Source organism: Homo sapiens, chromosome 5 (genome assembly GCF_000001405.40).
Source record: "Homo sapiens chromosome 5, GRCh38.p14 Primary Assembly".
NCBI lineage: Eukaryota > Metazoa > Chordata > Mammalia > Primates > Hominidae > Homo > Homo sapiens.
In genome coordinates this window covers 96,880,562-96,902,189 of record NC_000005.10, presented here as the reverse complement: position 1 = coordinate 96,902,189, position 21,628 = coordinate 96,880,562, and the positions used below count along the sequence as shown (strand labels likewise).

The 21,628-nt window shown below is 38.6% G+C and overlaps 2 protein-coding genes across 12 annotated transcripts in view, besides 3 other annotated features; one reads left to right on the top strand and one right to left on the bottom strand.

The window, feature by feature from the left end:
* ERAP1 (endoplasmic reticulum aminopeptidase 1) overlaps nucleotides 1-21,628 on the top strand; it is a 175,042-nt gene that overhangs the window by 33,665 nt on the left and 119,749 nt on the right. The window lies entirely within an intron of this gene.
* ERAP2 (endoplasmic reticulum aminopeptidase 2) overlaps nucleotides 1-21,628 on the bottom strand; it is a 43,733-nt gene that overhangs the window by 17,527 nt on the left and 4,578 nt on the right. For 2 of the 7 annotated variants that reach the window (NM_001130140.3, NM_022350.5), the window contains exons 3-11: nucleotides 18,260-18,398; nucleotides 15,401-15,535; nucleotides 12,885-13,005; nucleotides 9,737-9,891; nucleotides 6,831-6,944; nucleotides 5,686-5,817; nucleotides 5,327-5,458; nucleotides 2,001-2,069; nucleotides 509-684 (exon numbers count right to left, since the gene is read on the bottom strand). In NM_001130140.3, the coding sequence (NP_001123612.1) occupies nucleotides 509-684; nucleotides 2,001-2,069; nucleotides 5,327-5,458; nucleotides 5,686-5,817; nucleotides 6,831-6,944; nucleotides 9,737-9,891; nucleotides 12,885-13,005; nucleotides 15,401-15,535; nucleotides 18,260-18,398 (1,173 nt within the window). Of the gene's footprint in view, nucleotides 1-508; nucleotides 685-1,944; nucleotides 2,070-5,326; nucleotides 5,459-5,685; nucleotides 5,818-6,830; nucleotides 6,945-9,736; nucleotides 9,892-12,698; nucleotides 13,006-15,400; nucleotides 15,536-18,259; nucleotides 18,399-21,628 lie in introns of those variants that run through there. The other 5 variants (NM_001437802.1, NM_001438758.1, NR_137637.2 and 2 more) reach the window with 4 other exon arrangements.
* Nucleotides 5,005-5,064: an enhancer, noted in NCBI's record as "active region_22822". NCBI's record gives its function as "activates an Ori minimal core promoter by ATAC-STARR-seq in GM12878 lymphoblastoid cells {active_cell/tissue: GM12878}" and the evidence as "EXISTENCE:reporter gene assay evidence [ECO:0000049][PMID:35858748]".
* Nucleotides 8,551-8,845: a silencer, noted in NCBI's record as "tiled region #14932; K562 Repressive non-DNase unmatched - State 23:Low". NCBI's record gives its function as "represses a minimal TATA promoter and a strong SV40 promoter by Sharpr-MPRA in K562 cells {active_cell/tissue: K562}" and the evidence as "EXISTENCE:reporter gene assay evidence [ECO:0000049][PMID:27701403]".
* Nucleotides 17,540-17,714: a silencer, noted in NCBI's record as "fragment chr5:96220180-96220354 (GRCh37/hg19 assembly coordinates)". NCBI's record gives its function as "represses an EF-1alpha promoter that drives an FKBP-Casp9 reporter gene in an ReSE screen in K562 erythroleukemia cells {active_cell/tissue: K562}" and the evidence as "EXISTENCE:reporter gene assay evidence [ECO:0000049][PMID:32094911]".

Here is a 21,628-nt window from a genome sequence, read left to right as displayed (position 1 = left end):
GGCACCTAAGTACCCATCATCCTTCATACTACCCACAAGTGGTCTTATAAATTTTATAGGCTAAGACTAGCATATCCTTAAGTATGCAAAAAATTATTCCATGATAATTATAAAGGAGCAGCCATATCTACCTAGTTGAACTCTGCCACAAATACTTGTGTCATTTGCTGTCCTAATCTCATACCATAACAATTTCTGCTGTTTGTATGGGAAAGAAAATCCAATATTCCTTTCACATTTTCAAAAACTGCCAGCCTGATGCTGATTCAAATAACTAAACCAAGAACTGAAGTTCTCAAGGCTGATGGAATCACTAAGAATGGTGCTCCTGAACAAAGAAGTCCGGGTTATATGAAGCTCTTTAAATCTTATCAAGTCTACTTTAGGCCTTTGATTCTTATATGGAACTAGCATCCTACAAAGTTGCCAGATGAGCTGAGAGAAAGCTAAGGAAATAACGAGGAAACTGAGATGAGGTAAGCTAGACCTAAAGAAGAAAAGCAGCCACCTCTCCTGCAGGGCCCTCCATTCAGGGTCTTCCTGGAAAACCCCCTGGAGGAAGCGCTCCTGTTGCAGTCGGAGTGAACACCCGTCTTGTTTAACCACCAGCAGGGGGATTCCTTTCTGGAGAGTCCATGTAGTCATCATCTCTTTGACCTCTGCATTTTCCCCCAGAAAGGCGAGCTGAAATGACAGGTGACTATGATAACTCAAGAGAGAGGAGACAATCCAAAGACAGAGGGACAGAAACTTCCATCTCCTTGGATGCCAGAAACAAGGCTTGGGGAACAGAAGACTCGGACTGGTATCTCAGGGAAGGGTAATCCAGGCAACTGGATTAGGGATGGCTATCCCAGGGCTGCTCTCTGCAAATTACTTGAATTGAGGGATATATACAGGATATAGTAGGGTGAATACATGGCAGGAAAAGCCAGTGAAAAGGAGGTTGAGACTGGAGTCTCTTTCCTGACCCCTTTCAAAAACAAGCAAACAAACAAAATCAAACAAACAAACAAACAAAACCCTCAAATAACAGTAGAATCCAGGAGGGGTGGTTTACGAGGGAAATATCTGTCTTTAGGGAAGCTTTAAATATTTCAACAGAACAATTTAATATCAATAGAGGTGTAGTGAATGGAGAACAAAACCTCTGGCTGCTGCACTGCTAGTATGGGTTTCTGATCACTGGATGATGCTGAACCTTCCTTTAGAAAACACAATTTAGGGCCAGGCGCCGTGGATCATGCCTGTAATCCCAGCATTTTGGGAGGCCAAGGTGGGCGAATTGCCTGAGGTCAGTCTGGCCTACATGGTGAAACCCCATCTCTACTGAAAATACAAAAAAATTAGCCGGGCATGGTGGTGTGTGCCTGTAATCCCAGCTACTTGGGAGGCTGAGGCAGAGGAATTGGTTGAACCAGAGAGGTGGAGGTTGCAGTGAGCTGAGATTGTGCCACTATACTCCAGCCTGGGCAACAGAGTGAGACTTTGTCTAAAATAAATAAATATAAATTTATGTATATATATATTCAGGGGATTAGCATGACTCTTTGTTTAAATAAAAAGTTTTCCTTTCTTCCCCTGTGATGACTTTCTTTTCTCTTTCCTGTAGTGATTCTATAACTTCCCAGAGGTAAGGAAAAAGAAAAACATATACTGTATTTCCAAACCTAACAGCATACTTATTTTGGCATTTTTCAGAGCTTAAGGGATGCCAATGCAGTAGTAACCACTCAAAAACATTTTGCGCTGAGATATTTTTAGCTAGCAGTGGGGTTGTGGGAAAGCCGAACTATAACAACAAAAATATAGTAGCAACAGCATTGTCCCCCTAAATACCCCAAGCATTTCCCCTTCAGTTTTGTTTTAGAGAAAATCGTGGGGGCTCTCTTTCTCTCCAGCTTTTAAAAGGGACAGGTGGGCTACTCTGTATGTCATACTCACTCTAGGTCAGGCTATTCCACAGATCTCTTCTACTCTGTGACTCTCTTTATCCTTACCATGTTACTTGTCATCTTGGGATCCGAATGACAAACTCCACCAGATGTAAAATCACTTTCTAAACAACTCTACAAAACAAGAACAAAAGAGCACTGCAATGTAGGCATCATTAGTTGGCTGAACGTGCACATTAGCCATGGATGCAGGCATTTATTAAAAGAGCTATATGAAATAATTCATCCAGACATGATAATGAACATAAAAATGGAAAAAAAGGCATGTTTGCAGTGACCTGGGATAGAAGTCCACAAAAGTTATTTCTTTGTGTTATATATACGCATGTGTAAAGTTTCCTTAAAAAGTTCAATAAAGTCATTAACCGTTCTAAGGAAGAATCAATTTGTTGAATTTTCTATCCAATTCTTCTCTTTCCCTTAAGAAAGGTCCTATTTTATTATTTCATGCTGCATGTTATGTATGCCCCTATTTAGCATGTAGGCAACTCTGTCTAGTACTGTTAACTCTCCCCTGACATATTACAAGTTCTTTGACAGTAGGGGAAACACCTTTGTTTACCAAGGTATTCCTACAGTGGCTATCACAACAGCATGTGATGAGTGTACAATATTTCGAACTAACTGGGAATAAAATAAGAATTAAGAAAAGTACCAACTTGGCAATTGACCCTTGAATAACCAGTACTTAAGGGCAACTGCAAATGAGAAAAAATGAAGAATGTGCTAAGGCTCTCAAATGCCTTTAAATGATCTTATGAAAAATAACAGCAACTAATTCTTCTCATTCTCAAGTTGCTATTGACATGTATTAGAATTGACTTTATGTGACACAATGGTGGGCAAGATATTTTCAGTAATTTATTATTTTAATACTACAGGGCCCTTTGGTGTCAGAAGAGAGTTGGTCAAAATCTAGGACCTTTAGGGGAAGATTGATGGGGGACTTTTCTTAAAACTAGGAACTAGCTGTGATATAATTGAATAACTATTGGACTTAGAAGACAAATTTTAAGTACTGATTTTCTCACTGACTTGGTGACTTTGGGCAAATCTGTCCCTTAGTATCAGTTTTCTCACTTATAAACACAGAGTAATGATGATTACTTTATCTTTTGAGATGATTATAAGCATGATGTGACAAAAAATAACACAGGAATTTACACTGCTGGCCTAAAATGATCTGGTAATTGCTGGCCAAATTTTCTTTTTAACTCCCACCCTCTACTGCCAGTATGCACACCAAATGATAGATTCTTCCGTGTTGGAGGGGAGCTAAACTGATGTCTACAAATATACATACATGCACACACACATGGCAAGGGAGAGGGAAATGGAGAGGGATGAGAGACAGAAGCAACACAATACTTGGTGCTGAGAAGCTTAAGCGGAAGCATGGAGAAAGTGTGTCTGGACCACTGACGGTGGGTGATGGAAATGGATAGTAAAGAGCATCTTTATATGTTTTTTGTTTGTTTGTTTGTTTTGTTTTGTTTTAAGACAGAGTCTCACTCTGTCACCAGGCTGGAGTCCAGTGGTGTGATCTCAGCTCATTGCAACTCCGCCTCCTGGATTCAAGTGATTCTCCTGCCTCAACCTCCCGAGTAGCTGGGATTACAGGTGATCCACCAGACCTGGCTAATTTTTTTTTTTTTTTTTTTTGTATTTTAGTAGAGATGGGTTTTCACCATGTTGGCCAGACTGACCTCAGGCAATTTGCCCACCTCGGTCTCCCAAAGTGATGGGATTACAAGCATGAGCCACCGCACCAGGCCTATAAGTATTTTTGTAAGTAAAAACTATGTATTTGAATATGTCTCAGGATTTTCAAGAAATGCAAGTAAAAAATAGGAGCTGTGAAATAATTTTTGATTGTTGGATTTTGTTTCTTTAACCACAAAATCACACATCAGTTGGACCATAAGTGTGCTTTATAAGGGCACAAAAATATCAAATGAGATAATCAACATGAAAGTGCTTTTTATTCTTTAACTTTGATTTTTTATTTATTATTAATTATTGTTATTATTATTATTATTGAGACAGAGTCTCACTCTGTCACCCAGGCTGGAGTGCAGTGGTGCAATCTCGGCTCACTGCAACCTCCAGCTCCTGGGTTCAAGTGATTCTCCTGCCTTAGCCTCACGAATAGCTGGGATTACAGGCAAGCACCACCATGCCAAGCTAATGTTTGTATTTCTAGTACAGACGGGGTTCCACGAATTGGCCAGGCTGGTCTCAAACTCCTGACCTGAAGTGATCTACCCACCTTGGTGTCCCAAAGTCTTGGGATTACAGGCGTGAGCCATTGTACCCGGCCATGAAAGTGTCTTTAAACTGTAAACTGCTGCAGAAATATTAAACAATATTATTACTGTCCCTGGGACACAAGTGCTTGTAAAAAAGAAAGGATCTCTTCTGTCTACAATGACTTAGGGTTCTTCTAATTACAGGTATGAGTTCTCTGGGTCTAATGGTTCTATAAAAAATTATTTTCTTTGCAGTTGGAAATTTTAAAATATTTTAATAATTATTAGAATCATCTGAATTAACTGAATTTTTCTGCTTTGCCTTTCCTATTATCTACATGAATCCCAAAGACAGACCATAAGTTCTTTAATCAATCATTAACTGCTTATTAATCACTATTATAAGATCAACATATGCTAGGTGCTATCACATTAAAAAAAGAATAGACACAATTTTTGTTCTTAAGCACATTATCATTATTGAACTAATAAAAACAATAAAAGAGGGTACTATTATGTGGAACAGATTATAAGTGCACTGCTAAGAATTTAGCAGACAGGCAAACGAATGAGGGCTGGAACAGTCTGTAAGGAGGAGGTGAAATCTCAGCTGGATCTTAAAAGTTGGGTGGCATTTGAATTGTTGGAAAGAAGAAAGGGCATTTCAGCTAGTAAAGGCACTAGAAATATAGGCACAATGATCTAGAGATTGAGCAAGATTTCTTCTTATAAGAGAGAAGATTAGTTTTGCTCAACAAATATATACACATTGGGGAATACAGTTGACAACCTTAAAATTTGCCAGAGATTAGGTGTTATATGGTAGAAATTACAACATTTTAAAGATTTTAGATCAAGGGAACATAAAAGTGTAGGATTAGTCGTAGAAGAGAAACCAAAGAAAGTCAGGTCAAATAGTGAGCCCCTGGGGCCACCCCAGCGTGACATCCTAGTGTGGTGTTAGAGGAAAAAGGGAAGTGCTGCCTTCTATAGACCATGACAACATAGCAAGCAGAATAAATATGGTTGACTGACAATATATAGCTATTTATAAACATTCACAATTATTCTGTTACTTTCTAGATTAAATAACAGTCTATCGTTACCCAACATATGACTTACATTTGACAGACTGCTCCACAAGTCATCATTCTTAGCATTTCTATAGCTGAACTTCTTTAAGTACTGAATTATTCCTTTCTGGAATTTCTCCTCACCCAGAAAATCCTTGAGCATATTCAAAATACAAGCTCCCTTTAAAAAAAAACAAAAGAGTTGAAAAAAGAGATAAAGAAAATGGTAGTATGGTATGTTTTTAAAGGAAGCTTAAATTTTACGGAACATGTGTGATGTCTGAAAAGTGAACAAATAAAAAGTGAAACAAGTAGCAGGAACTGGCACCAGTGACTTAAACTGCTGATTCTATAGTCATTATTACACTTCTGAAAGCAGAGCTTCCACCTGCACCTGATATTTACTACCTTGTTATAGGAAACTTCATCAAACATTTCCTGTATTTGAGTCGGGGTTTCCGCTGGTTTGGAGATAGGGCGGGATGAATTCAATGAATCTTTTGTAATTACTTCAAAACACACATTCAAAAAATAGTCATCCTAAACAGGGAGAAAAATGTTTAGTTTTAGTTTCTATTTGACACTGTAAAAGCAATAGAAAACATAGTAGGTTTAGTAAGATGTTCTTAGAGGTAAGATTTCAATCGATATTTCTTGGGAGATGTTTCTTTTCTTGTATGTATTCCCCTTTGGCCAAAGGGGAATACATCTTTTTAAAGTTTCTCTACTTTAAAAAGATACAAATCCAATATTCCTTCAGACATTGCCTGAATGTTTATCATGTACCAGCCCTTGAATACAGAAATAAAATAATGGTTTCCATTTAGTGAATACTTGTTACGTGCCTAGACCTATCATCTGCAATCCTGTCAACACCTCTGCAAGGGAGATATGGTATATGCATTTTACAAATAAGAATATATAAAGCTTTGGCATTAAGCCACAAATTCAGTACATACACAGTAACAAGAAGAGCCTAACTTTGAATCCATGTCTGTCTATAGTGTACTGGACTAAATATATATCCCAAAGACCTAATTAACCATTACTAACCACCTTGATATGCAAATTTGTGTAGTGTTCAGACCACTATATTCGTTTTTAAAAAAGACGTACCTGAAGAAATCCCTTCACACATTTTGGGGAAGCCAGCAGACCCTTTGGAAATTCTAGAAAAGTACACCCCCAATGATGTTGATTTCAGGTTACATGCCGAGAACTCTCTATAGTACCTAGTAGCCATGAGCATTCCTGTGCAGATGTATACAAACAGTGATGTTCTTTCCTCTCAACCCACATACACAGTTCTACATTTGTATTAGTTTGCCTTCTCTCTTTACAGACTTTGGGGTGACAGATTTATGTTGATTGTTTTCTAAAACCTTCAATGTTTCATCCAGTTCTGTGATCTGTTTCGTGTATCAAACAAAATGCCATATGTTCAAAAACCACAACATTATGTAGTTTTTCTGTTTAACATTCACTTGAAATTTTAATAGTGAATTGATGATTCTTTACACCATATAGTATGATACACAGAATTGTGAACTTACAAATTGCAGCTCTGGATATGTAGCATTAACAGCGATAAGTTCCATGTATTTTGCAAAACCCTCCTTAAGCCAAATATCATTCCACCATTCCATTGTGACCAGGTTGCCAAACCACTAGGAGGTAAAAACTCAATATTATTAGAAGTTAAACAAATAAAAATTATTAACTTTAGCAAAAAATACAATAGTTACTAACTTTTTTTTTATTAGTTAGGATCTCTCTTCTCTCTTTGCTACCCTTTTCTCTCTGTACAATTTTCTTCTACTGATTTCCTTGCCTTCTTATTCTCACCACCACATTTTTGCTTGGTTTTCTTTTTTCTTTTTTTTGTGTGTTCTCAATGCCCTTAACTCTTCGACTTTCATTCTATCTGCCCAACATTTCCTAGTTATTAGATTTAATATTAAGAAAGAAAATGGAACACTTTATGGAGGTAGTTTTTTTCTTTCCTGCCCAATAAGAACAATCTCACCTTGTCCTTGATATATGATGATGTTCAAGGGAGAAATATAAATCCAAGTGTCCTGGGTGAAGTTATCTTTTTATATTAAGTAGCAGGTACTTAGGAGAATCATAAGAATTCATTTAGGGCTCTCAGGTTGTTATATAATATTACTGAAGAGCAAATTCAGTTGTTAACCTCTGCCCCTGACTTACTTCAGTGGGCCACTAGAAACAATAAAGGTCTAAGATTTAAAAAATATATAAATCAAATAAAAAGGATGCATAAATATAATTGACATATTTACCCTTTACCTATATTTGATCTGTATTATGCATTTTAAATATTACTATTCTTTTATGTGCTTTTATGTTTTATTTATTTAGTCTATATGCCTAATACTGCACATCTAGTGTATGTCTCTAAGATTAAAATCTCTAGACGGACCAAAGCTTCAACAATAAGATTCTAAGATTCAGAAGAGCCTGGTTATAGTTACAGAACAGAAAATTATAAGTCTGTAGCTTCTAGAAACAGTTTAAGCACTATTCCTTTTCTGACAGTCTTCAGATTACTTTACAAGTGGGCAGCAATCTTCTGAAGGGCATTCATGGAAAGGGAGAGGTGTTTCCTCAATTTGAAAACCGGTGAATATAAGAAGTACAGGATAAACTGATTCTAGCCACTTTACCAGTTAGCAAGACTAGTTTATTCATTCATTCAGTAAATACCTACGGAGAACCTACTGCGTTCCTGGCACCATGCCATATGTTAGAAATACAAAGATGTATATAATATAGCCACTGCCTCAATACAAATGATGGAGGTCAACCAGTAGACAAATAAATACAGTAAAGCAGGTGCTAAGATCAATGTCTTTGCCAGGGACAGAGGGGATTCCAGGAGGAAATAATCAGTTTTGCCAGGACAGTGTTCATTTCCTGAGCCTTGTAAATAGTACTCAGGTATGCTGAATATCAGGTAGTAGGAGCAAAGGCAGAGTGATACAACCTGGCATGTTCAGAAAATGGCAGGTAATCTTGGATGGCTAAAGCTTAGGTGTAGGCAAGAGATGAGGATGGAGAGGTAAAAAGGAGCTGGGTCATGGGAACCTTGTATGCCAAGCTAAGACAGTTGGCATGAGGAAATCTTTGCCAGGGTTATGCACAGAGTGACATGTTAACATGGTAATCAATGGGAAGACAAAAAAGTGGGGGCAAAAATTCCAGTGCTGTTTGCTGCTTCAGCACTTGACTGCATCTCCGTGGAAGAGAAGCTATTAAAGGGAGGGCCAGAGGGAGCATGGAGCCTCAGAGGTAGAGCTCACAGAGCACTTCCCTACAAACAACTGGCAGAAAGATTAGAAATCCCCAGACTCAGTTAAGTGCTTTAGAGCTCCTGGTGACTCATGATCAAAACACCTAAAATGCGCCAGTGGGGAGATTTTGAACCAAAGGAAGCAGCCCATGTGTTCTCGAAGCACAGTGTTGAGCATGGCTCTCTGTGTAACAGAGTATTTAGTTCACTGCTTTAAAGAACAACAGCTCATTATTGTGGTGACGATAAAGGATAAAGTTAAAATGTTTTAAATAAGAGATTTTACCAGATTCTACAACAGAATGATATTTGCCCACTTGGTGAAAGACAATTTTGGTGACTTTAATAATTTACTGCATTACTGAGAGTTTTCAGAAATGAAATAGAGGGAATAGTCTCCAATATCTATAGACCTAGTTTTACAATTCCACATTTGTATGTAATACAGTGTTGATAGATGGCCCTTAGATAAGTTATTTTGCAAGAAATAGTAGTATTTCTTGTAGTTGTAGTGGCCGTTGTCATCATCATTAATAACTAATACTTATTGAGTGCTTACTATGTGATCCGCACACTTTCCCTATCCATAATCCTCAGAACAGCTTTATGAAACAGAACTATTATTAACTTAATTTTATAGATGGGGACACTGAACTTCAGAGAGTTAGGTATGTGCCCAGGATCATCAACCCATCAAATTTCACTTGAAGTATTTCATTATGGCCATGTAAGCACAGGTTCCAACTGAAGGAAGAGTGATTTTGCCCTAGATTGGAATGCCAGAGTACCAGGGGATATAAGGAGAAATATTTTTAGTAGAAATCTTTATTTGTAAGGTTTCCAATTCTGTGCTTCATGTGTCTGTATAGTCACTTCCCTTCTTTTCCCAAATGACATTTGAAGGCTTTGCTTTGAAAGGTTTTAGAGGATAAATTTAATGGCTACTTCTCGTAATAAAATTCCAGTATGCACACCACAGTTCAGAGACTGAGTACTGTGCTACTTGACGTTGTGTTAGGTTTAGTAGTCTCTAAGTTCCCCTCTAGAGGTAAATGAGATGATTTATTTTGTTTCAGGAAGATTGGTCGTGTTCTATATAATGTTATTTTGAACTGATATCGAGATAATGTCATGAGTGCCAAGTACCTGGTGCGCCAGTTCATGGGCTATGACTCTGGTGACCCACAGTTTATCGGAAGCAGAAGAGGTCTTGGGGTCAAAAAGCAGTGACGTCTCCCTATATGTAATGAGGCCCCAATTTTCCATGGCTCCAGGTGCAAAGTCAGGAATAGCAATTAAATCTAAGAAATAAGAACAACCATACTTGAGTTTTATGGCTCCCACACCAGAAATAGAATTTGCTCTCTGCTCAAATACACTATGATCCTTTAAGCATATTTAAGCAGACTTTTTGAAAACATCAAGAATATCTTAACATTGACAGGGTGTCTTATAGTTGCGCTGAAAATAATCAGTGCCCATTATCAAGTGGAATAAGTTGTACAAAGAGTTTTGTAGATGAAGTAACATATGGACATTTAACCATTTTCTTCCTGAAAGTGCTGAACTCTGAAAATATTTTGGGTGCCTTACTGCCAAGAAAATAATTTATTTAAAACAATCATATTGTGTTTTATGTTAGTACTGCTGAAAACTTTAAAAAGGGTATCAAATAATTTCTAATATGTTTGAGATTCATCAAAACGTATAATGAACTTATTTTTAGAAAAAACAAAAAGATGCATGATTTTAATTTCAGGAGAACACCTCTTAGGAGCCATCTCTATAGTCAATATTTCGATTGATATTTCTAGCAAATATAGCCTCTATTATGAGCACATGTTCTTCTAAGACAGCAGAGGAAAAAAGCTCTGGGAATTGATTCTGACTTCAATTTCCTTTTCAACACTGATATTTCCTCTACTTCTTAAGAAAGTGTTGTGGGGGGAAAAAGTGCAATCTAATGATTTAAACAACTCAGGTATAATGCACTAATTTGCATTACGTGTGTGTGTGTGTGTGTGTGTACCATATATGTGTGTGTGTGTGTGTGTGTGTGTGTGTATATATACCGTATATGGGCATATATATATATATATACACACACACACACACATATATATATATACCTGTATATGTGTGTGTGTGTATATACATATATATGTACCTGTATATGTGTGTGTATATGTATATGTGTGTGTGTATGTATACACATATATATATATATACACATATATATATACACACACATATACATATACAGGTATAAATGTATGCGCATGGTTTACTATCCTTTGCTAATGATTTCACGTAGGCTAAAAAATTTCTGGCTAATATTTAGTCTTTGAGTTCTGCTAGCTAAAATGTTCTGTTTAGCTGGAAAAAAAGATAATTTTTTAAAAGTTTGAAATGAACCAAGTCACTTGGCTTATAATTACATTGTCTGGAGTTAATACTGGTTAATTCTAGTACATTAAAAACAAGTATACATAACACAATCAAAAACTAAATTAGCGCTAATAAAGATTAGTATTCGTTAGCACTTCAAATGTGGGAATGACTTTTCTTCTAAATCGCATTGATGATTTTATAGTAGTGGGACTTATATCTGCTCTATTTTTTCCTAAGCTGCATGCTTCTTTTCCGTTAGTCTTAAAGATATTTCATATGCTCTTTAAGACTGCATTTTTCAAGAACAACATTAATATTGTTGATGGCTGTTATTAATCTTTCCTTGACTTTTGATCTAAAGTACAGCAGTGAATTACATATAAATGGGATTTAGTATATCTGTACTAAAGAGTATATAGAACCTGCACAATAATAGCAGAGTAAGACTCAGGAACTATCGAAATAAGTCCCTGGATATAGCTTTTAATTTTTTTAAGCCTGGAACTGTATGCCAATTGATGGTCCCTTTTAATTTATGTAAGGAAAATGCATTGGAGTTGAGGGCAAGAGGCGAAAAAGGACAGGATAAGAAGTATATCCTAAATTCCAAAGGAAAAAAATTGTTTTGTCACTGTCAGAAACCCCAAGCACTAATCTTTATATGCTATGAAACTTTCTTCAGTTTTTATATGCTCTACAACAGGGGTCCCTAACCCTAGGGCTGCGGACCAGTACCTGTCAATGGCCTATTAGAAACTGGGCTGCATGGCAGGAGGTGAGCGGTGGGCGAGAGAGCATGACTGCCTGAGCTCCGCCTCCTGCCAGATCAGAGGTGTCATTAGATTCTCATAGGAGCATGAATCCTATTGTGAACTGCGCATGTGAGGGATCTAAGTTGCGTGTTCCTTATGAGAATCTAATGCCCAATGCTCTGAGGTGGAACAGTTTCATCCAAAAACCATCCACCCAATCTTCGTGGAAAAATTGTTTCCACAAATCTGGTCCCTAGTGTCAAAAAGGTTGGGGATCGCTTCTCTACAACCTTCTAAAAATAACGTTTTTTATTTTTTAAGATAGAAAATTAAAAGCAAGATAGACTATGAGTATCATCTCATGTAAAGACCTACTACCACAACCAAATGATCTGTTTCCTGCAATTTTTTAAAAATCTGTTCCACAGTCTTACCATCCAACCTCAGTGCCCAACACAGATAACGGATGGAAGCATAGTTTTCAGTTCTCTCTCTACATAAACTTTTGACAACTTTTATAAAAGATTGCTGACCTTGTACAAATAAGGTATGGTGATTCCTCCAGAAATCCCTCTAATTCTAATATGCAATGCGTGTGTGTGTGTGTGTGTGTGTGTGTGTGTGTATGTATTTTTTAATGGAAAATCCATTCTCTAATCAATGCTGCTGGGCATAGAAGAGCAGCACGATGGGAGGTGTGTTTCCCTCCCACAGAAGAGGAGCATAATGGATGAGAGCGTTGATGTCCGCCACAGGGAGCCACAGCATCTTGGACATGTGGACCCCTATTTTGAACAGAGCAGTCACTGTGTTCCTTCTTTTTCTCCCCATCTCTTTCCTGGACCCTCTACCTGGCTTCCGTCCCAGCCTCCAGTGTGTGCCCTTTCTGATCAGCCTGGGAAAGAGTTCGATGCAGATATGTTAACGTTAAACCTGATAAAAGAATAGAGAAATGATCCACACTGTTGGGGCATGTCATAAATATTTTATTTTCTACACTCAAGAATCATCTCTGAGGAACAAATTATTTTTTCCTGAGCTAACTGAATTCCTCAGTGCTCATTTAAATCACATAGAAAGAGAAAGAGGGAAGAGATCAAAGCAAGTTTTATGAGCAAAAATGAAGACAATAATGTGGAATTTGAACATACCCAGTTTGGAGAGTGGATAGTAGATATCAAAGTACTTTTCATAAAAATCAAGTAGCTTCAGTGATGCCTGCAAAGCATAATGTGTTTGATTCCGTTTGTCTGGGGATGCATAGATGGACACCTGGGAAATGTGGATCAGAAGAGGTTTTTGAATGACAGCTCCCTGGCATAATTCCATTCCTGATAACCCTCTCACACAGAAAGGCAGACTGTATCTTTTCAAGAAAGTATTAAGATACCATTAAGCATGTTGTCAATAAGGATAAGAGGTTCTGTGAAGTATTAAAGCAAAAGTCAGTCTTGAAAATTACAAACACCCTGAATCTTCTGTTACAATCCATTTCCTCAGTGCTCATCTGTAACTTTCAAATCATGTTAACCCATTGTATCATAATCCAAGTATATCATAGAGAGGAACCCACTTGAGTTCGTCTCTATGATATACTTTAACACTTGTCAACTAGCTTTCCAAAATGATGACCACAAACACAATTCAAATAAAACATAGGTTTCTTCTAGACCTATGTGGGAAGCCATGAAGAACTTATTGGATCCGCCCTCTGTCAAGCTTGCTTTAAACTAAGAAATGCTCAAATATGTTCAATGGCTCCCCCAAAGAAATTAGCTATCAAGTAGAAAAAATAGAATTAGATTCAAATTTTCTTGCCTTCCAAGTATAGAGCTACTTTTATTTCATGACCCACTTTTATGTTCTGAATTAACTGAAGTCCTTCAAAACTTTTATGCAGAAAAAATGTAAACGGCCACCATTTTTTGACAGTTTACCAGGCACTGTGCTGAATGCTTACGTATAAAATCTAATTTAATACTTGTGCCCACTCTATGAAGCAGGTGCCATTTTATAGGTGAAGCAATAAAAACACATAATGATTTAGTAACTTGCTCCAGATCACCCAGGCTGAAAGTTGTAGAGCTGGGACGTGAATCCAAAGAGGCTGACAGGAACCTGTCCTCTGAAGTGCCATTCACCTCCTGCACATCCATGTCTATGCATAGACATCCATGTCTAAGTGCAGAGGTGCCATGATGTGTATGTGTGCTACACAACTCATATATCTACATATTCATGAACATAATACATATGTAAATTGTAATAGATACTTTATACAGATTTTTCTTTTTTTTTCTTTTATTCTTTTCTTTCTTTTTTTTTTTCTTTTGAGATGAAGTCTCACTCTTGTCACCCAGGCTGGAGTGCCTGGTGCAATGTCAGTTCACTGCAACATCCGCCTCCCGGGTTCAAGCGATTCTCCTGCCTCAGCCTCCCGAGTAGCTGGGATTACAGGTGCCTGACACCATGCCTGGCTAATTTTTGTATTTTTAGTAGAGAGGGGTTTCACCATGTTGGCCAGGCTGGTCTCAAACTCCTGACCTCAGGCGATCTGCCAGCCTCCGCCTCCCAAAGTGCTGGGATTACAGGCATCAGCCACTGTGCCCGGCCTATGCCCATTTTTCAAAAGCATTATTTTATAACTCTTTAAAAATGTTTTTAAGTCTATAATTTGGTCTCTTGGGATAAGAAGTTCTTTTTTATTTATTTAATGTGTTCACTGATGTTTGCAAATATTTAACTACAAAGATAATCATTAGGTATTGTTGTAAGTTTTTGCAAACAACGAAGACTCTAAAAATTATAAAGATCTTCTTTCATTGAGGGAAAAAAGTTATAAAAAACAGTTGGAAACTGTCGGGCACGGTGGCTCACGCCTGTAATCCCAACACTTTGGGAGGCCAAGGCAGGAGGATCACCTGAGGTCAGGAGTTCAAAACCAGCCTGGTCAACATGGTGAAACCCCATCTCTACAAATATACAAAAATTAGCCAGGCATGATGGCCTGTGTTTGTAGTCCCAGCTACTTGGGAGGCTGAGGCAGGAGAATTGCTTGAATCCAGGAGGCGGAGATTGCAGTGAGCCGAGATAGCATCATTGCACTCCAGCCTGGCCAACAGAGTGAGACTCTGTCTCAAAAAAAAAAAAAAAGTCGGAAACAACATACATGCCCAAAAATAAGATACTGATTTTAAAATCCTTATTAAACCTCCATGCAATTATTAATATTATTTAAAATTTTAAATGACATTCAACTTTTATGGCATATTTTGATAAAAATGGGTTAAAAATAGTCAATATATTATTTTGCAAAGGGTATATATGTATGTGTGTGTGTGTGTGTGTGTGTGTGTATATATATATATATATATATATATATACTTTGAAAATTACCTTTACATATATAGTAAGTAAATACTGTTACTATGTACACCCATATATGCTGACATACATATAGAAAATATTTGGAAGGCTTACATTAATATTATCAGTAGTTGTATCTTGGTGACAGGACTATGGATAATTTTTAACTTAGTTTTTTATCTATCTCTTCTTGTAATATAAACATAATACTTTGATAACAATGAAAAACATGAGAAAACAAAAGTTCATTGCTCTCAGGACACTTTTCTGCACTGCGTAGAACGTTAGAACTCAGTCTCACCTTGACCCCTGATGAAGTGAAGCCACTCAGAGAGTGGAAATCACAAACTATGTAGGCTACAAGGTATGTACTCATTTTTACAGTAGTTTCAAAGTGATCTTCCAAAAGACCTCCTTCAAGTTCAATTGTCTTAACCTACAGAAAGGAAAAGGAATAATCAGTACTTGAAAACTGGAGTATTTCATAACCATGCCTATGACTTATGGCAGGTGAGTTAGAGGCAAGCCTCATACTCTGAAGGACAATCGATGACCTCCTAGGGGGGCAATGGCCTCTCCTAGTATTCTGTAGCCTCTCTTACCTCCATTGCTTTTACCCCAACACTCTGTTGAAAACAAAAAGCCCTGCTTTTGAGATCCCCAAAGCACAAAAATGCCAAATCTCATTTTGTTGATTGAAAGCATAAAAATATTACATATTTCTATTTTCTTAAAATGCAATAATTTCCAACACTGGCATCAATTCAACTTCTGTGCTTTTAAGTAAAATACCAGATAATGGCCCCTTTCCCTTTATTTGTTGTACAAGAAGTACACCCCTGTGGAAAAAGAAAACAGGAAGTGAAACTGAACTAGAGGCTGCACATTATCTTTTAATCCTGTTATGTGGGTGTGAGGTTGGTGTTGTTTCTCAGGTGAGGAAACAGAGACTCTGAAATGTTCACAGAATTGTTGGAGATCACATGGCTAGTTCCACGGTAGGACCAAGATGTGGATGTGACCGTGTGACTCCAAAGATGATGCTCATTCTCTCACTTGCTGCGTGACAGCTTGAGTCATGGTCTTATTTTATCTTTGCTTCATTGATTCAGCAATGAAAGCAGTCAGGCCAAGGAGGTCATTAGTAATTTAAGCTTCTGTCCATCTCCTGAGGAAGCAGAAACTTTTCAGCCTGCAGTCTCGTCAGCTGCATCTATCAAGATCACTGGGTAATGACTGAATTCTATCTTCATTTGGTCTGGGCAGCTTGTCTCAGAGATGGTCTTCACCATGGTACAATGCCCCCAAATACTGAATGGATACAGATCCAATAATCTGAAAACATTTTCTTCAAGCTAGTCACAACTCCTAGACAGGCTCTTCCCCACCTCTATCCCTGAGCCCTTTCTGGGAGTCAGGCTTGTGATGATGCTGACTGCAGCTTATTAAGCATGTTTGACATGTTGGATAAGATTACGATTTGCTTTGGCAAGAGAAAATAGCTTGAAGCATTACCATAAATTATCTAGTCTACTTTGATGGCAAATGTTTTTGCTACTAAATTCTACAGAATTTAATTTTGCTGAATTCTATTTGAAATCTATTTCTAAGCTCCAATAAAGAGGAAGGTACTGATAAAATACTGTAAGAAAAGTCAAAGTATATACAGGGCTGTAATTTTTAAGAACTCTATCCAGCAAATTAATTTTCCCCAACAACCGTCTCCATTTTTAGGAAGCTGATTCAACCAGTGTTCTCTGGATATCCACTCCCAGCAGAGGAGGTGCTGTCTTATGGTAGGGGCTGAGAGCTGGGGTATTATTGTGGTCTTCTGACCAAACTCAGCAGCAAAACCATTTAGTCAAGTGTGTGGAGGGGTTACTGGCAGAGGCGTGAGGCTGTGAGACTATGGGGAAATACGTCTGGGCTACTAGAAGGCTGGTGGCAGAGATGGTTCGGAGGCAAATGGGCGTTTGCTATGGTTTATCCCCACCAGATGAAGACGATACAGTCCATGGAGGCTGAGTTTTGTTCAGAAACCTGGAGTGACCCATGTAGATTAACATTGCCTTAAATAGACGTGTATGGGGTATTAGTGTAAGTTCTTCCAGGATGGTGATGTAATCTCAAGTACAAAACACTGACTGCTAGACAAGGATTTAGCTGTTTTCTCAATACCAGCAGAAGTTTACTTGCATGGCAATTGTCACCAGTGAGTGTGTGTTTCCTTACAGGATGAAAGAGACAAATAAGTGTCCAAAAGATATGCTGCCTCTACTAGCACTTGGACCCTGCAGGGTCCCTGAGTTTGAGACCAGGCTGACTAACGTGGTGAAACCCCGTCTCTACTGAAAATACAAAAAAAGTTAGTCAGGTGTAGTGGTGGGAGCCTGTAATCCCAGCTACTTGGGAGGCTGAGGGAGGAGAATTGCTTGAACCCAGGAGGCTGAGGTTGTAGTGAACCGAGATCACGCCATTGCACTCCAACCTGGGCAACAGAGAGAGACTCTGTCTCAAAACAAACAAACAAACAAAAAACTTGTATAACCACAATTAATAATTTTCATAAATAAATTTAAGAATTACTTGTGAAACTTAAAAGAGGGGATTTCTAAGTTCCATCATAGACTTCTAGATCAGAATTTCTTGGGTTGGGGCCCTGCAGGGTCCCTGAGGTCCTTGCCACTGCAAAAGGGGTCTCTGGACCGTCAGCAGTGGCTGGAGGCTTGTTGGAAAGGTAGAACTTCAAGCTTCAACCCAAGACCTCTTCTTGAATCAGAATCTGAGTTTTAGCAAGATTCTCAGACCATTAATCTGGACCCTAAAGTTTGAGAAGTACTGCTCTAGGAAATTCTGAATTTCATCCCTGGCCAAGAAACACAGATTTAAGATACTGTTTCCATATGAACACAAAATATAAATCACTTTGCTTGGGAAAAAAAAAGCTTCCTGTGTAACAATGCCCCAAACAGAATGATGTTAACGTCTAGAATGATTGAAATTATGATGATAGATAGATAGATAGATAGATAGATAGATAGATAGATAGATAGATAAAAACAAATTAATGGCTGAAATCCTGAAAGCAATTTTAAAAAACAAACGAAGACTGAGTCTCAACTTGAGAACAATTTCTAAAAGTTTCTGGAAGTGGACATACCTTTGGCATGTTGGATAGTGCAATATGCCTGCTCTCTCTTCGTATCTTGATTGAAAAGTTGGCTTTGAACAACGGTTCATCAAAGCAAGGGAAAGCCATGCGTGCCTGGGTTGGCTCAAAATCTGTTACTGCAAGAATTCTGTGAAAAGACCCACCCCCAGCCAAAATGCACAAGTGAAATCAAGAAGAGAAATGAATCTGTACATTCAGCAAACAGCTTATCAAACCTGGGGGTAATAGACTTGATTTCTCAAACTGCAATCTTTGTGAATCTCAACTGTCTCTTTGAGGAAAATGAAGGTAAAATCTTATTTAGCAGCCATCAATCATAAGCAATGCCCTGTTTTGGGAATGCTAATTACATTATTTCATTCATACTCAGGTCAAACAAGGATATTGAGGCTCAGACAACTTGAATGACCTTAGCAGGATCCGCAGCCAGTAAATGACTGAAATAGTACACATGTTGTCTACATGTCTTCAAAATTCACTAGGAAATTAAATGTTCAGTATTGTCTCTAAACCTGAAAGGGCCTCAGATAGACATTTGAGTAATTGTGTACATGAGTGATGTCCTAAGTTGTATTTCCAGGAAGCAGATCCTGACTTATTGAGAACATCCTGCCAGGAGAAACAGGTAAGGGAGTGAGGGAAGCAGGACAGGGAAAAGGGAGAAGCCAGTCAAGGGTGCAGGACAGGCAAAGTCCCAGCATCAGCCTGATTCCCAGGGAGCTCTGGGATGCAAACTACGCCTTCACGTGTCCCCCACTGGAGGCAAGGAGCTGGACTTTCATATTCTTGTACCATTGTTGGCTAATGGTCTGTCTGTGGCACCTGTGCCCCCAGGTACTTCTAGTTCTCTCTGCTTGCCACTCTTCAGATGATGACAGGTATAATAGATATATACTCTGATAAACTTCTCTACCCCAACACCAGGATATGCCTGAAACTGTACAGTTACAGATTTACTCTTTGGACTTTAAGCTTCAATTAAGAAGTGAATTTGGAGAGCAGATTTTGACTGGAAAAGGAGGGGGGAATAGAATAGCTCAAATAAGAGGGAGAGAGAGGTCAGGAGGGAAAAAAGAGAAGCTGTCAGGATATTTTACTTCAGCTTGCTTTATTTCTATGACACAGGCTGGGAAACTGAGGCTAGGGATGTAAATGATTCACTTGTGGCCTCAAGGTTTTATTTGTATTTGGTAGCAGTTTCTGCAAATGTAAAGGAATTCTAACTGGCTGGAATAATTTTCACTCACATGAAATTTTGGTTGTAACAAGTCTACATTGAAAAAACAAAAAAACCTGAATCTTTGTTGCTTACACGATTCATTGGAACTCTACATGCAAAGTGTGACCTTCTGCATCTCAAAAGAACCACTTTCAACTGAATTATTTGTGTAGTTTAGATGAAGAAGTGAGGAAGAAAGAGAGAGAGATTCATAAGATTCAATTGACATTGTGCAGTACATTATCATACATGTCAGACCTACTAGGTGACTGAGTATGAAGGGAACTGACTAATTAACCATAAGGAGCATCAGGAATAGCCTGCAATTAATCACGGGAGGCATGCTGGAAAGTCCTACAGCTTTACTCCAAATATCTCCCCCTCTCATCTCCCACAGCTCCCAGAATAGTATCCCTAAGATATATGTCCTTTGGATGGGGCCTTCGGCATTTGAAAAAAATGAAAAAAGCCATCATTGTTTATGTGGTGCCTTAGTGAGAAGAAGTTGACACTTTTCCTATCCAATACTGTGCTGAGCCTGAAAACAAGCCCCTGAGGATTGTGGCTGCAATGAGGGGAAGTGTCACCAAGGGAATGTGGAAAGAGAGGAGCCTGGGGAAGAGTTGTCCTAGGTGGATGGCTGCAGGCTGTGCAGTGAGCACCCAAGTGGGGAAGGGAAGAGCAGGATGTAGTAGACACAGCTAGTCACTTCCTGATACCCATTTCCCTTCCTTGGTTCCAGTGGAATCCTGATTTTATTCAGGAAGGCAACAAGTCCAGATAAGAGAGTTACTTCTTACAGGCTACCTTGTGACTTGGTGAGGCTATGACTCATTCTGGTCTAGCTGAAGTCATTGGGTGGGAAATCTTTGTAAAGAGTGTTAGATTCAAGTGGAATGTTTCTTTTTGCCCTTATCTCTCCCCCGTGTCCCCCTTCTTCCTGCCTAGAATGTGGACTTGATGCCTAGAGGTGCAGCAATCATCTTGCAAGTATTAGGAAGAAAGCCATAGGATGGCTGAGCAGAAAGACAGAAGGAGCCTGGGTCCTGGATGACTCTGAACAGCACTATAGCAATCTGAGCTGCCCTACTTCTGGACTTCTTGTTGCATGAGAAAAATATGCCCCTGTGTGGTTAAGCCATGGAATTTAGATTTCTCCAACTGGCAATTGAACACAATTCACATAACGTGAGAGTGCACTGAGCCAGACTCCTCTTACCTCCCAGATGGATCCTGGCCCTGGGAAACCAAGCCGTCCACTCTATGAAGCATCCTTGATTCTTCTATTTCCCTCACCTCACATGACCAATATGTCAGCAATCTCTGTTGTTTTGCCCTCCAAAATAACTGCCAAGTTCAATTGTTTCACTCCATAAGCACTGCCACTAGCCTGGCCCAAATTAGCATCACTTCTTACCTGAACTACTGCAATGACCTCCCAATTGATTACTCTGCTTCTCTATAACATACCCTCAACATAGACTTGATCTTTATAAAGCATAAATCAGAGCAGAATCCTCCAGTGATTTCCCATTTCATCTGAGTTAAAGTCAAAACTCCTTACAAGACGCCCCAAGGCTCCACATGATCTGATCCCTTTCTCCCTCTTGTTCGCTCTCCTCAGCTTACACTGGCCTTCCTCAACCAATCCCACTTTAGAGCACTTGCCCCGAGATGTTCTCATAACTGTCTCTTTAAAAAAAAACTCAGCTCTCAATTTAAATTCACTTCCTCAACAAACACTTCCCTGCCCAGTCAACTGAATTAGTTTCAATCTCCAGCCTCATTTTCTACCTTTCTTGCACCTTGTTTTATTTCATTCATAACACTGGCCAATTACCTTGCCAATTTTATTGATTTTCTTGTCCTGGTTGTCTCTTCCATCAGATCCCACCATTATACATTCAGTGCCTAGTGCAGTGCCTGGCACATAGTATGTGCTCAATGAATGTGACTTGATCAAATTGACTATATTTCTCAATTTTCCAAACTAGTTCCTTGTTTCTGACTATTCGATATGAGTCATGGCTGTTACCTAGGCAATGTATACTTTGTCACTTCCTCTCTCCCAATCCCAGTCTCACTTACATTTCCTTCTGGTCCCAGATGAAGACTCACTTCCTTTGAGAAGCATTCCC